The sequence below is a fragment of the Homo sapiens genome, chromosome 6 (genome assembly GCF_000001405.40).
Source record: "Homo sapiens chromosome 6, GRCh38.p14 Primary Assembly".
Taxonomy (NCBI): Eukaryota; Metazoa; Chordata; class Mammalia; order Primates; family Hominidae; genus Homo; species Homo sapiens.
The window spans coordinates 38,749,646-38,762,388 of NC_000006.12; the positions used below are offsets into that span (position 1 = coordinate 38,749,646).

General features: G+C 37.7%; 1 protein-coding gene across 10 annotated transcripts in view, besides 1 other annotated feature; it reads left to right on the plus strand.

Annotated features, from left to right (window-relative positions):
• The window catches only part of DNAH8 (dynein axonemal heavy chain 8), a 315,482-nt gene that overhangs the window by 34,335 nt on the left and 268,404 nt on the right, over positions 1-12,743 (plus strand). For all 10 annotated transcript variants that reach the window (XR_926078.3, NM_001206927.2, XM_011514319.3 and 7 more), the window contains 3 exons: positions 831-944; positions 6,327-6,434; positions 12,057-12,158. Coding sequence is in view for 9 of the 10 variants with exons in the window: in NM_001206927.2 (NP_001193856.1) it covers positions 831-944; positions 6,327-6,434; positions 12,057-12,158 (324 nt within the window). In the remaining variant the exon portion in view is untranslated. The remainder of the gene's footprint in view (positions 1-830; positions 945-6,326; positions 6,435-12,056; positions 12,159-12,743) is intronic.
• Positions 5,969-7,168: an enhancer, noted in NCBI's record as "P300/CBP strongly-dependent group 1 enhancer chr6:38723390-38724589 (GRCh37/hg19 assembly coordinates)". NCBI's record gives its function as "activates an origin of replication core promoter dependent on BRD2, BRD4, P300/CBP, MED14 and CDK7 cofactors, with strong dependence on P300/CBP, by STARR-seq in HCT116 cells {active_cell/tissue: HCT116}" and the evidence as "EXISTENCE:reporter gene assay evidence [ECO:0000049][PMID:35650434]".

Here is a 12,743-nt window from a genome sequence, read left to right on the forward strand (position 1 = left end):
AAGGGTTGCTGTGTGTTCACTAGGCTCCATTATGCAAAACTATACAGATGAGCAGAGATTACAGGAAGAACTTTCTCATAATCAGTTATTTAAGCAGGTACTATTTGATGACCACTTACAAGAAACTGTTGATTTCAGATTGACTTCACTTTGCTAGTAAGGTTTTGTTTTGAATAATGTTCTTTTTTATTTTTTATTTTTTTTGAGACAAAGTCTCACTCTGTTGTCCAGGCTGGAGTGCAGTGGCGCGATCTCTGGCTCACTGCAAGCTCCGCCTCCCGGGTTCATGCCATTCTCCTGCCTCAGCCTCCTGAGTAGCTGGGCCTACAGGCGCCCGCCGCCACGCCCAGCTAATTTTTTGTACTTTTAGTAGAGACGGGGTTTCACCGTGTTAGCTAGGATGGTCTCGATCTCCTGACCTTGTGATCCGCCCACCTTGGCTTCCCAAAGTGCTGGGATTACAGGCGTAAGCCACCACGCCCTGCCATAATGTTCTGTTTTAATAACTTGACCCATTCTTGAAGACCCAGAGTAATATAATGTCACAAATAATTAACCTGAAAAAGTCATTCCTGTTAGAAGCAGGTCCAGTTCAAGCCTACAGACAGGATTTTAATTACAAACAGAATGAGTCTTCAGTTTTAGTAATTCATTTAAGGTGCTTGTTGTAACTTTGTCTCAAGTATTATAAGAAAAACATATATTAATCACACTTAAATATCTACCATTTTAGTATATGTATGATTAGGGAAGACTGAATTTCCCGAGTAAACTTTAGCACACTGATATATTTGGATGTTTCATAGAATTCTTATACCTTTTTTTCTTAGAATTGGCGTGATTTGGATGCAAGAATCACTGATACAGCAAATGAATCCAAAGATAATGTCAGATATTTGTATACTTTGGAAAAAGTGTGTCAACCTCTCTATAACCATGACCTAGTAAGTATGCTTTTAAAGTACAATTTTAAACTGAGGGCAGTGGCTCGCATCTGTGATTCTAGCTACTCAGAAGGCTGAGGTGGAAGGATCGCTTGAGCCCAGGAGTGCAAGGCTGCAGTGAGCTATGGTTGTGCCACTGCATTCCAGCTTGAGTGACAGAGCAAGAAGACCCCATCTATATAAAAAAAAATAGTACAATTTAAGAAACTGACTTGTATAATTAATGCATTAAAAATCTTTAATATGTGTATATTGGGGAAAAACATCCTGCCAAAAGTTATTTAAAATATACATTTTCCTCTTATGTGTTTATGAAGAATGATAAACTATATTTAATATTTTAACCCATATTTAAATATATAGTGAATCATTAATATAGTATGTGCAAGACAAATATTAATATATTACTTATACTTTGCTGCATAACAAATAACCTCAGAACTGAGTGGCTTAAAAACAATGAGCATTCATCATGTCAGAGTTTCTGTGGCTCAGGAATCCAAGCAAGGCATAGCTAAGAGCTTCTGCTTCAAAGTCTCTCATGAGGTTGCCCACAGGCTAAGTGGGGGAGGCTGACTGGGGAGAGTCTTCTTCTCAGTTCACTCATGTGGTTATTGGAAGGCCCCAGTCCCTTGCCACGTGGGCCTCTCCACCTGGCAACTTGCTTCCCTTGGAGTGAGTGTTCCAAGAGTGAGCAAGAGAATGAGAGAACACCCAAGTTGGAATCTACCTTCTTTTAATAACCTAATCTCTGAAGTGACAGCCCATCATTTCTGTTGTATTCTATTGGCTAGAAGCAAGTGAATCTGGTTCACTCTGGGTGGGTAGGGGAGTATACAAGGGTGTGAGTACTATGTGGGTGAGCATCACTGGGGCCATCTTTGGGGCTGCCTATCAAGGTAGATATTTCCCCATTTACAGATTAGGAAACCAAAACTCATCATGGTGAGGTGACTTTGCCAGCATCACTCAGCTAATCAGGGATGCAGGACAGAACCCATCTTCTAATTTCTAGCCTACTCTTCTCATAATATTTCCATAGAGATCCTTTAAAGAACATGTTAGCACTACCATTTGCTTTTATTTTTTAGAAGTTTATATTAACTTCAAATTTATAATCTGGTATTTCATAATATTTCATATAAAATATGAAAATTAAAAAAATCTCTATCCTTTATTTAATAGAAGGAGAAGTCAAGGAAGCTAGTAGTTATTGAGAACTTAGAGCAGGATTTCCCCATTTTTCCTGGATATTACTTCTTTTGTAAATCATTTGTAGGCAGGAGGGCTGCCCAGACAGCTGCATTTTTAAAGATGTTCCCAGGCTTGAGAATCCTTGAACTTTTGTTATAGGCATTGTGCTACATGCTTTAAATATGTTTTCATTCTCTATGCACAATGACCCTCATTTCAAAGATTAGGAAACCGAGTTTGAACATTTCTATGATGATCCGTGATGGGACCAAATTGGAATCTAGCTATCTGTAGCATTATGGGTTGTATTATTTTTCCACTTTACTATGTTGCTTCTTCAAGGTATTCTCTAAGTTGAAATGCTTCCTCTTTCCTTCCTCCCCCCACCCCACCACCCCGGGATGGAGTCTCTCTCTGTCACCCAGGCTGGAGTGCAGTGGTGCTATCTCTGCTCACTGCAACCTCCGCCTCCCGGGTTCAAGCAATTCTCCTGATTCAGCCTCCTGAGTAGCTGGGATTACAGGTGCATGCCACCATGCCCGGCTAATTTTTGTATTTTTAGTAGAGACAAGGTTTCGCCACATTGGCCAGGCTGCTCTCAAACTCCCGACCTCAAGTGATCTGCCCGCCTCCACCTCCCAAAGTGCTGGGATTACAGGCGTGAGCCATCGGGCCCAACACTTTCAAATTAATTTAATTTGTGTCTGATATCTGTGTCAGTATTCTTCACTCTAATTTTTTAAGAAGTAGTCAAATCTTCCATATAGGTGGCAGCACTGGCCACATGGTTTTGTTGACCAACCTTCTTGGGTCAATGTAGGTTTCATCCCAGAGGCAGGGAGAAGGAAAGAGGTTATGGCCTATATCACTTAGACTTGGAGAAGAAGGAGGTGTAAAGGCAGTTTATAATCTTTCCAAGAGAGTGTTAGTAGTCAAGAAGTTTAATATGAAAGGGGAGGGAAAAATGTCAGTTGAGAGTCTTGGACAAGTGCATTTCTTACTGCCATGAGGAATCCATTATCCATCAGGGAGCACCATGAGAGGGGACAGGAAGACTTTAGAAGCAGAGTCTTTTAATTGAGTCCATAAAGAGATTGTCGATTTTATTTAAAACTTATTAGTATTATTTGCAAAGAGATGACTTTTTGAAAAATTACAGCTTTATTTTAGATTCGGGGGTACATGTGCAGGTTTGTTACATGGGTATATGACATGATGCTGAGGTTTGGGGTATGGATGCTGTCACCCAGGTAGTGAGTACAGTACACAATAGGAAGTTTTTCAGCTCACACCTCTCTCCCTTCCTCCCCACCAAGAATTATGACTTTCTTAAACTTCATTCTTCTCATTTTTACCCCTGCTACTAGTAGCTGGACTTGTGTTGTGAACCTTTGTAAAATTTGTTTAATATAAGAACATTTATACTATTTCTTAGGTATTTCTGTGCACGTGACCCCAAGTAAAGAAAATCAAATTGTATATGGTGTTGGAGAAGTAAGGCCTTTGCTTGGCTTACTTGGCAGCTCAATGACTTAATTCCCCAACTTTACAATGTGAGCAATTAAAATTTCTGTCCAAGAAAAATTAAAATTATTACATGTCACAAGCATTTCAGATTGCTCACAAGATTTGAAGATGCAAATATGAAATACACATAATACCTAAAGCCTACTCCAGGGCTACCGCAAGTAGCTCTTGATGTGAAAAAATAATAGATGAAGTGAATATGGCACAACGTTCACGTTTGTCAAATCTAATGATGGGAGTAGGTGGTCATTATATTTTTCTCTGTACTTTTCTATATATTTAAAGCTTTTTATTATAAAAAGTAAACTTGAAAGAAAGAATACTCTTCATTGCTATCAAGACTCCAAATTTTAAGGTATACTGATTTCAACTTCTTGATTCAAAAGACTTGTTTTAATTCATATAATTTAAAAATCATTTAGTTCTGATGTTTTTTTCATCCTAGTAATTTTAAAAAGCTTTGTTCAATTACTCTAACCATGGATGTGCCTTATTATTGTTATTTTGTTGTTGTTGAGCTTTTTATATTCTCTGATGTAGGAAGGTTTCAAGCATCACCTTTTGAAATGACAGAAGTACTAATAGCATTGAGTCATATAATTGCTTCCCACTCATACACCCACTATATCTGTACTTTCAACAATTCCTTTTTCCCCCTCATTTTCTTTATTCTGATTAAAAGTAACCAGCAATTGCTGTTTAGTTTATAACTGTCATTTGGGTAGGAAAAGTGCAGGGGATTCATGCTTCCATTTCTGGTTCATAAGTTTTATGTATGTTTCATTTTTTTAATCACCCTGGTATTGTGCTTTAGGCATATCTTACTATTATATGTTTGACATATGAGATATCTGAGCACTGTATATAGATGGACAAGAACAGTGCACTCAAGGAGCTACTATTGTAAATAATGATGTTTAAAGTTCAGATGAAGGACGTTTTCCTGAAGGACCCATTTGATGCCATCCCTGAGCCCTCTTTATTGGAGTTTAGTGGTACTTTGTAGACATGACTTAGGAAGGGTGGAAGGGACTCTTTCTAGGCATATTTTTATTAGGATCTTTTTGATCTACAGATACCATATATAATATGAATTCTGGCCTAGAAGGTTAACTATAAAGTAATGGTGTTAATTTCCATAAGCCACATAAAACTGATTTAATTATTCCATAGTTATACCCCACACCTAGGACATACCGTACAGTAATCGGTAGTTGTTTTTCTTGGCTGTATTTCTTCCATCACCATTAAAAACACATTTTATATATTTTATCTTGTCTTATCAATTAAAAGGAAAGTTCCTTGAAGGGAGGGATGCCATTGGCTTTGTCTGTTCTCCTGTAGTGATTTGCATCACGGTTAGAAGCAGGGTCTCAAAATCTCCACTATGTAACTTACAGCTGTTGGATCTTAGGCAAGGGACTTAACTTCTCTACCTCTCTGTTTTCTCATTTGCAAAATGGGAATAATGATAATACTTTATTTTATAGATTCTAAGACTTTTTTTCACATTTTAATATCCCTGAACTCAGGACATACTTTAGTCAGTTAGGTTTTGTGAATCATTGTGGATGTGACTTGATACTACCTTAAATTATTAGTTCTCTCCTTGAGGGTGTTTTTTTTGTTTTGTTTTGTTTTTGATTTTGGTGCCATTCGTATGAATTCAGACTGCAGTTGAGTACCTGTGCATACATTCTCAAAGAAGTTTGATTTCTTTCCTCCTCCTGGTAGCATGTACATTTTGTTTCTCTCTTTTTCTCCATGGTTGGTTTATTTCATGTTTACCTTAACAGGGAGGACCCACTGGTGGCCTAGTATTATGTAGGAGTTAGATTCCTCATCTTGGGTGTCTTTTTTCTTTCTTAATAGCACAGAAAATAATGGTGCAATCTTACAATCCGTGATGTTTTATATCTGATGTAATCAAACCTACCTTCAAGGGTTGTTGTCAGCATATCTTAGAATAATATGCTAACGCTCTTAGCCTAGTGCCTGGAATATAGTAAGCAGTCAGTTTATGTTCAGGATTGTTTTATATCCTTGTTGTACTTGTTCTGCTTTGCTCTACCTTTTTCTACTTGTTTTACTTGTTTGTGTTTATCTCTTCTGCTCTGTTGTGAGCTACTCATGAATAGGTTTGGATTTCTTCCAATATCTTCAGAGCCTAATGGCACTTGGTAGGATTGCTAAAACACGAACTGAGTTGCATAAAAGAAAATGAATGCTAGTCTGATTTCTATTTTAGCTGGGCTTATGACCTTAAGAAAGTCACTTTACCCCTCAAGGTATCAGTTTCTTCACCTTTAAAAAGAGCAGAATGAACTATTAACCTTAAAATGGCTCTCACCTCTAAAATTTAATTTTAGATAAACTTTTAAGTTCAGATTTACAGAAAAGTTGCAATGATAGCACAGAATTCTCTTTACCCAGTTTCTCCTGTTAACATCCTGTATTACCTTAGTTTGTTTGTCAAAACTAATGTCCTGTTATCTGTTCCAGGGTCTAGTCTAGAATACTGCATTGGATTTAGTAAAATTTGACTTTAAGCTAAAAATGCTATACTATTTTGTGTACCTTTAGAGTTTTGAGTATTATAGAATATTGGTTATTAAAACTATATGCATATGATGGAATTCACTTAATTTGTTTCAATGTTAGGTTTCCATGGCACATGGAATACAAAATTTGATTAATGCCATCAGAATGATTCACGGTGTGTCAAGGTATTATAATACCTCAGAGAGAATGACCTCATTGTTTATCAAGGTAAGTTTCTGTGGGAGGAAATTACATGTCATCCTGTGAAAAAGTTAGCAAATCTTTCCTTCTGAGCCCTAGGAAGGGAATTTGGAAGCCTAAGTGCCTCTCAGAGTTTTAATACTTCCAGTGGACAAGAAGAGAAAGGCGTTGACTGGACTCAGTTGTACTTAATTGAAGGGAGTAATTGGTACTTTTCTGTTTATCAGATGTAAGCCCCAATACTTAAAGAAAATGTGCCTGGTGGTTTTTTAATTTATTCATTTCAAATAGTTTTGATTCTACCCAAGAGATAGGAGTGTGTCTACTATTAACAGTGCTTCTTTAGCTACTCCCATGAACACTATAGTTTGTGTAAAATTTTCCTGTGTAGCGCCGCATGGTTAATTATTTAAAATAATTTTTTAAAAATGATTAAACAATATATATTTAAATTTGCTAGCCAATGTCATTCTTTTTTTTATTATACATTAAGTTTTAGGGTACATGTGCATAATGTGCAGGTTAGTTACATATGTATACATGTGCCATGTTGGTGTGCTGCACCCATTAACTCGTCATTTAACATTAGGGATATCTCCTAATGCTATCCCTCCCCCCTCCCTCCACCCCATGACAGGCCCCAGTGTGTGATGTTCCCCTTCCTGTGTCCGTGTGTTCTCATTGTTCAATTCCCACCTCTAAGTGAGAACATGCGGTGTTTGTTTTTTTGTCCTTGCGATAGTTTGCTGAGAATGATGGTTTCCAGCTTCATCCATGTCCCTACAAAGGACATGAATTCATCGTTTTTTATGGCTGCATAGTATTCCATGGTGTGTATGTGCCACATTTTCTTAATCCCGTCTATCATTGTTGGACATTTGGCTTGGTTCCAAGTCTTTGCTATTGTGAATAGTGCCGCAATAAACATACGTGTGCATGTGTCTTTATAGCAGCATGATTTATAATCCTTTGGGTATATACCCAGTAATGGGATTGCTGGGTCAGATGGTATTTCTAGTTCTAGATCCCTGAGGAATCGCCACACTGACTTCCACAATGGTTGAACTAGTTTACAGTCCCACCAACAGTGTAAAAGTGTTCCTATTTCTCCACATCCTCTCCAGCACCTGTTGTTTCCTGACTTTTTAATGATCGCCATTCTAACTGGTGTGAGATGGTATCTCATTGTGGTTTTGATTTGCATTTCTCTGATGGCCAGTGATGATGAGCATTTTTTCATGTATCTTTTGGCTGCATAAATGTCTTCTTTTGAGAAGTGTCTGTTCATATCCTTTGCCCACTTTTTGATGGGGTTGTTTGTTTTTTTCTTGTAAATTTGTTTGAGTTCATTGTAGATTCTGGATATTAGCCCTTTGTCAGATGAGTAGATTGCAAAAATTTTCTCCCATTCTGTAGGTTGCCTGTTCACTCTGATGGTAGTTTCTTTTGCTGTGCAGAAGCTCTTTAGTTCAATTAGATCCCATTTGTCAATTTTGGCTTCTGTTGCCATTGCTTTTGGTGTTTTAGACATGAAGTCCTTGCCCATACCTATGCTCTGAATGGTATTGCCTAGGTTTTCTTCTAGGGTTTTTATGGTTTTAGGTCTAACATTTAAGTCTTTAATCCATCTTGAATTAATTTTTGTATAAGGTGTAAGGAAGGGATCCATTTTCAGCTTTCTACATATGGCTAGCCAGTTTTCCCAGTGCCATTTATTAAATAGGGAATCGTTTCCCCATTTCTTGTTTTTGTCAGGTTTGTCAAAGATCAGATAGTTGTAGATATGCGGCATTATTTCTGAGGGCTCTGTTCTGTTCCATTGGTCTATATCTCTGTTTTGGTGCCAGTACATGCTGTTTTGGTTACTGTAGCCTTGTAGTATAGTTTGAAGTCAGGTAGCGTGATGCCTCTAGCTTTGTTCTTTTGGCTTAGGATTGACTTGGCAATTTTTTGCCAGGGCTCTTTTTTGGTGCCATATGAACTTTAAAGTAGTTTTTTCCAATTCTATGAAGAAAGTCATAGGTAGCTTGATGGGGATGGCACTGAATCTATAAATTACCTTGGGCAGTATGGCCATTTTCACGATATTGATTCTTCCTACCCATGAGCATGGAATGTTCTTCCATTTGTTTATATCTTCTTTTATTTCCTTGAGCAGTGGTTTGTAGTTCTCCTCGAAGAGGTCCTTCACATCCCTTGTAAGTTGGATTCCTAGGTATTTTATTCTCTTTGAAGCAATTGTGAATGGGAGTTCACTCATGATTTGGCTCTCTGTTTGTCTGTTATTGGTGTATAAGAATGCTTGTGATTTTTGCACATTGATTTTGTATCCTGAGACTTTGCTGAAGTTGCTTATCAGCTTAAGGAGATTTTGGGCTGAGACGATGGGGTTTTCTAGATATACAATCATGTCATCTGCAAACAGGGACAATTTGACTTCCTCTTTTCCTAATTGAATGCCCTTTATTTCCTTCTCCTGCCCGATTGCCCTGGCCAGAACTTCCAACACTATGTTGAATAGGAGTGGTGAGAGAGGGCATCCCTGTCTTGTGCCAGTTTTCAAAGGGAATGCTTCCAGTTTTTGTCTATTCAGTATGATATTGGCTGTGGGTTTGTCATAAATAGCTCTTATTATTTTGAGATACATCCCATCAATACCTAATTTATTGAGAGTTTTTATCATGAAGGGTTGTTGAATTTTGTCAAAGGCCTTATCTGCATCTGTTGAGATAATCATGTGGTTTTTGTCTTTGGTTCTGTTTATATGCTGGATTATGTTTATTGATTTGTGTACGTTGAACCAGCCTTGCATCCCAGGGATGAAGCCCACTTGATCATGGTGGATAAGCTTTTTGATGTGCTGCTGGATTCGGTTTGCCAGTATTTTATTGAGGATTTTTGCATCCATGTTCATCAGGGATATTGGTCTTTTTTAAAATAATTTGAGAAATTACTCAAGCAACACATGAGACCAGGCATGGTGGTTCAGGCTGTAATCCCAGCGCTTTGGGAGGCTGAGGTGGGAGGATCGCTGGAGCTCACGAGTTTGAGACCAACCTGGGCAACATAGAGAGACCTTGGCTCTACAAAAAAAAATTTTTTTAAGTTAGCTGGGCATGGTGGTGTGTGCCTGTAGTCCTAGCTATTCCAGAGGCTGAGGCAGGAGGATCCCTTGAGCCTGGGAGTTCAAGAATGCAGTAAGCTGTGATAACACCATGGCACTCCAGCCTAGGCAAGAGAGAAAGACCCTGTCTCAAAAAACAAACAAACAAACAAACAAACAAACAAACCACCACCAACGAAAAAACCCACATGAATAGAATTTATTTGTAAATTATTCAAGCATAACGAAATATATAAAGTCATAGTCACATTTTAAGTTTTTTTAAAAAGCAAAGTATAGGCTTAATCACTATGTCCTAAATACGACAAGACTCTCAGAATCCTTCCTCTTTACCTGTCTCTCTCATTCTTGCCATATATGTCCCACATTGAGATCATTTTTAGTTCTGACAATGATTCTTTGCTTGGCTTCTGAATCTTCTGGTAGGCCCACCTTTGCACTTTCTAGTGAAATCTAGTTTGAGCAAAGAACCCTGCTAAGTCAGTTTAGCAAGAACCCCCCATTCTTGATATCTGATGACTCTAGATATCTGATCAGGTTTTCATTCCCCCCAACCCCCCAGGTGTTGTCTGATCACTTTGGCCTGTCTTCAGCAAGAATCCTGTTAGGTCAGTTTAACCAAAATCCCCCTTACCTCTGATGTTTCCTCTTAATAATTTTCCACCCACTGACTCCCATCCTGCCCCTTGGCTATACATTCCTGCTTGCCCATGCTGTGTTCAGAGTTGAGCCCAATCTCTCTTTCCTGCTACAAGATCCCATTGCAGTGGTCCCTATACCTATCACAATGGTCCTGAATAAAGTCTCTTGCTTTGCAAGTATCACTGAATAATTTTTTAACAGTTCCATATTATTCTTAACATTTTTTTCAACATTGTGAATCAACAAGTATTCAGACTAAAATCCAAGTATTGCTAATTTATTTATCACCACTGTTTTGTGATTCCCACATCTTTTTCCTTCTTGGATTCATTATTTCTTTTGCTGAAAAAATTCTTTCAGAGAGGTTTCAGGGTGGTGAACTTCCTGGATTTCTACATGTCTGAAAATCACTTTCATTTTGTCTGATCACTCAAATGCTAGTGTGACTTGGATTTTAAATTCGACATCATTGTCTCCTGGGAAGTTGAAGATATTGCTCAATCATTGTCTAGTATTCAGTATTGTTGAGGAGAAGCTTGGTGCTAATATGATTCTTGTTTCCTTTGTAGGTAACTAGTTTTATTCTCCCAGGAAGCTTTTAGGATTTTTTTTCTTTATCTTTGAATTTCTAAAATCTCAAACTTTTTTTTTTTACATTTATCTTGTTCTACACTTGCTGAGTTGTCTCAATCCAAAGACTTTCCTTTCTCTTTATTCCTGAGAAACAGTCCTCTTTTGCCTGGGATTATTTCTAGCTCACTGATATGGTTTGGATATTTGTCCCCTCCAAATCTCATGTTGAAATGTGATCCTCAGTGTTGGAGATGGGGCCTGGCAGGAAGTGTCTGGGCCATGGGGGTGGATCCCTCATGAATGGTTTGGTGCCCTCCTTGTGGTAATGACTTCATGCAACAGCTGATTGTTTAAAAGATCCTGGCATCTCTCTCTTGCTTGCTCTCATATGAGGCCAGTTCCCACTTTGCTTTCTACCATGATTGTAAGCTTCCTGGGGTCGTCATCAGAAGCAGATGCCGGTGCTATGCTTCGTGTACAGCCTACAGAGCTGTGAGCCAAATAAACCTCTTTTCTCTATAAATTACCCATTCTCAGGTATTCCTTGATAGCAATGTAAATGGACTAACACACCTACCCATTCAATTTATTCTCTCCCCTTGCATCTAACTTCCATTTCTCTTAATTTTTTTCTTCCATCTTTGCCCTTTTCTGGCTCACTCATTTGCTCTTCATTTTTTTTTTGGATTGTATTTTATTTATTTATTATTATTATTTTAAATTTTATTATTATTATACTTTCAGTTTTAGGGTACATGTGCACAATGTGCAGGTTTGTTACATATGTATACATGTGCCATGTTGGTGTGCTGCACCCATTAACTCGTCATTTAGCATTAGGTATATCTCCTAATGCTATCCCTCCCCCCTCCCCCCACCCCACAACAGTCCCCAGAGTGTGATGTTCCCCTTCCTGTGTCCATGTGTTCTCATTGTTCAGTTCCCACCTATGAGTGTTGCTCTTCATTTTTGTACCAATTGATGGTCAGTTCATCAATAGAATTTGTTTTAAAATTCTGACAATGAAAATTCCAATTTCAAGTTCTCTAGTTTTTTTTTAATGTTATTATTATTATTTTTTATTTTTAGAGACAGGGTCTCATTCTGTTTCCCAGGCTGGCTTTGAACTTCTGGGCTCAAGTTACCCTCCCACCTTGGCCTCCCAAAGTACTGGGATTACAGGCATGAGCCACTGCACTTGGCCCATAGGTTTATTCTTTATCATATTTTTATGCTTGTGGTTTGAAATTTATATATAAATGTTATTTCTCTTTTTACATATAATTATTTTGTACCTATATTTATTTCAGGTAACAAATCAAATGGTAACAGCATGTAAAGCATATATTACTGATGGAGGATTAAACCATGTATGGGATCAGGAAACGCCAGTTGTACTAAAGAAAATTCAGGTTTGTAGAAGTACTTTTATTTTCATAAACTAAATCTTTTCCCATCCTGCCCAATTTTACTTTGTTTATTCACAAAATATGTTAACTGAAAAAACTTCCTACAGAGTAGTGTTGAGAATATAAAAAGAATACAATTCTTATTATCTATTTCCCTTTATATTTAGTGCTTCTCTGAGGGTAAAATTTAATTCTCATCTCCTCCATGGCTGCCTGTGTTAGACTCCTGTGTGCCATTTCATACGCTCTGGCCCCTACATCTCATTCCAGCCTGTTACAATTAAAATTTTTGCCTTTTTTTGCATTGGTTAGGATTACCATGTATCCTTAAATAGACATGGTAGTAGTTGCCATCCTAATTTTGATCCTGGTTTAGAAGACAATGTTTCTAACGTTTCCCCCATTTAGTTGGATGCTTTTGTAAGATTTAAATATATCTTTGATCAGATTAGTTTAGTACCAAGAGATATTTTTTAAAGTTATGAATGGGATTTGGAAAATTTTCTTCTGCATATATTTATTGAGATGCTTATAGAATTTTGCTCCTCAGTCTGTTAATGTGATAGATGACATTTTTAGACTTTCTAA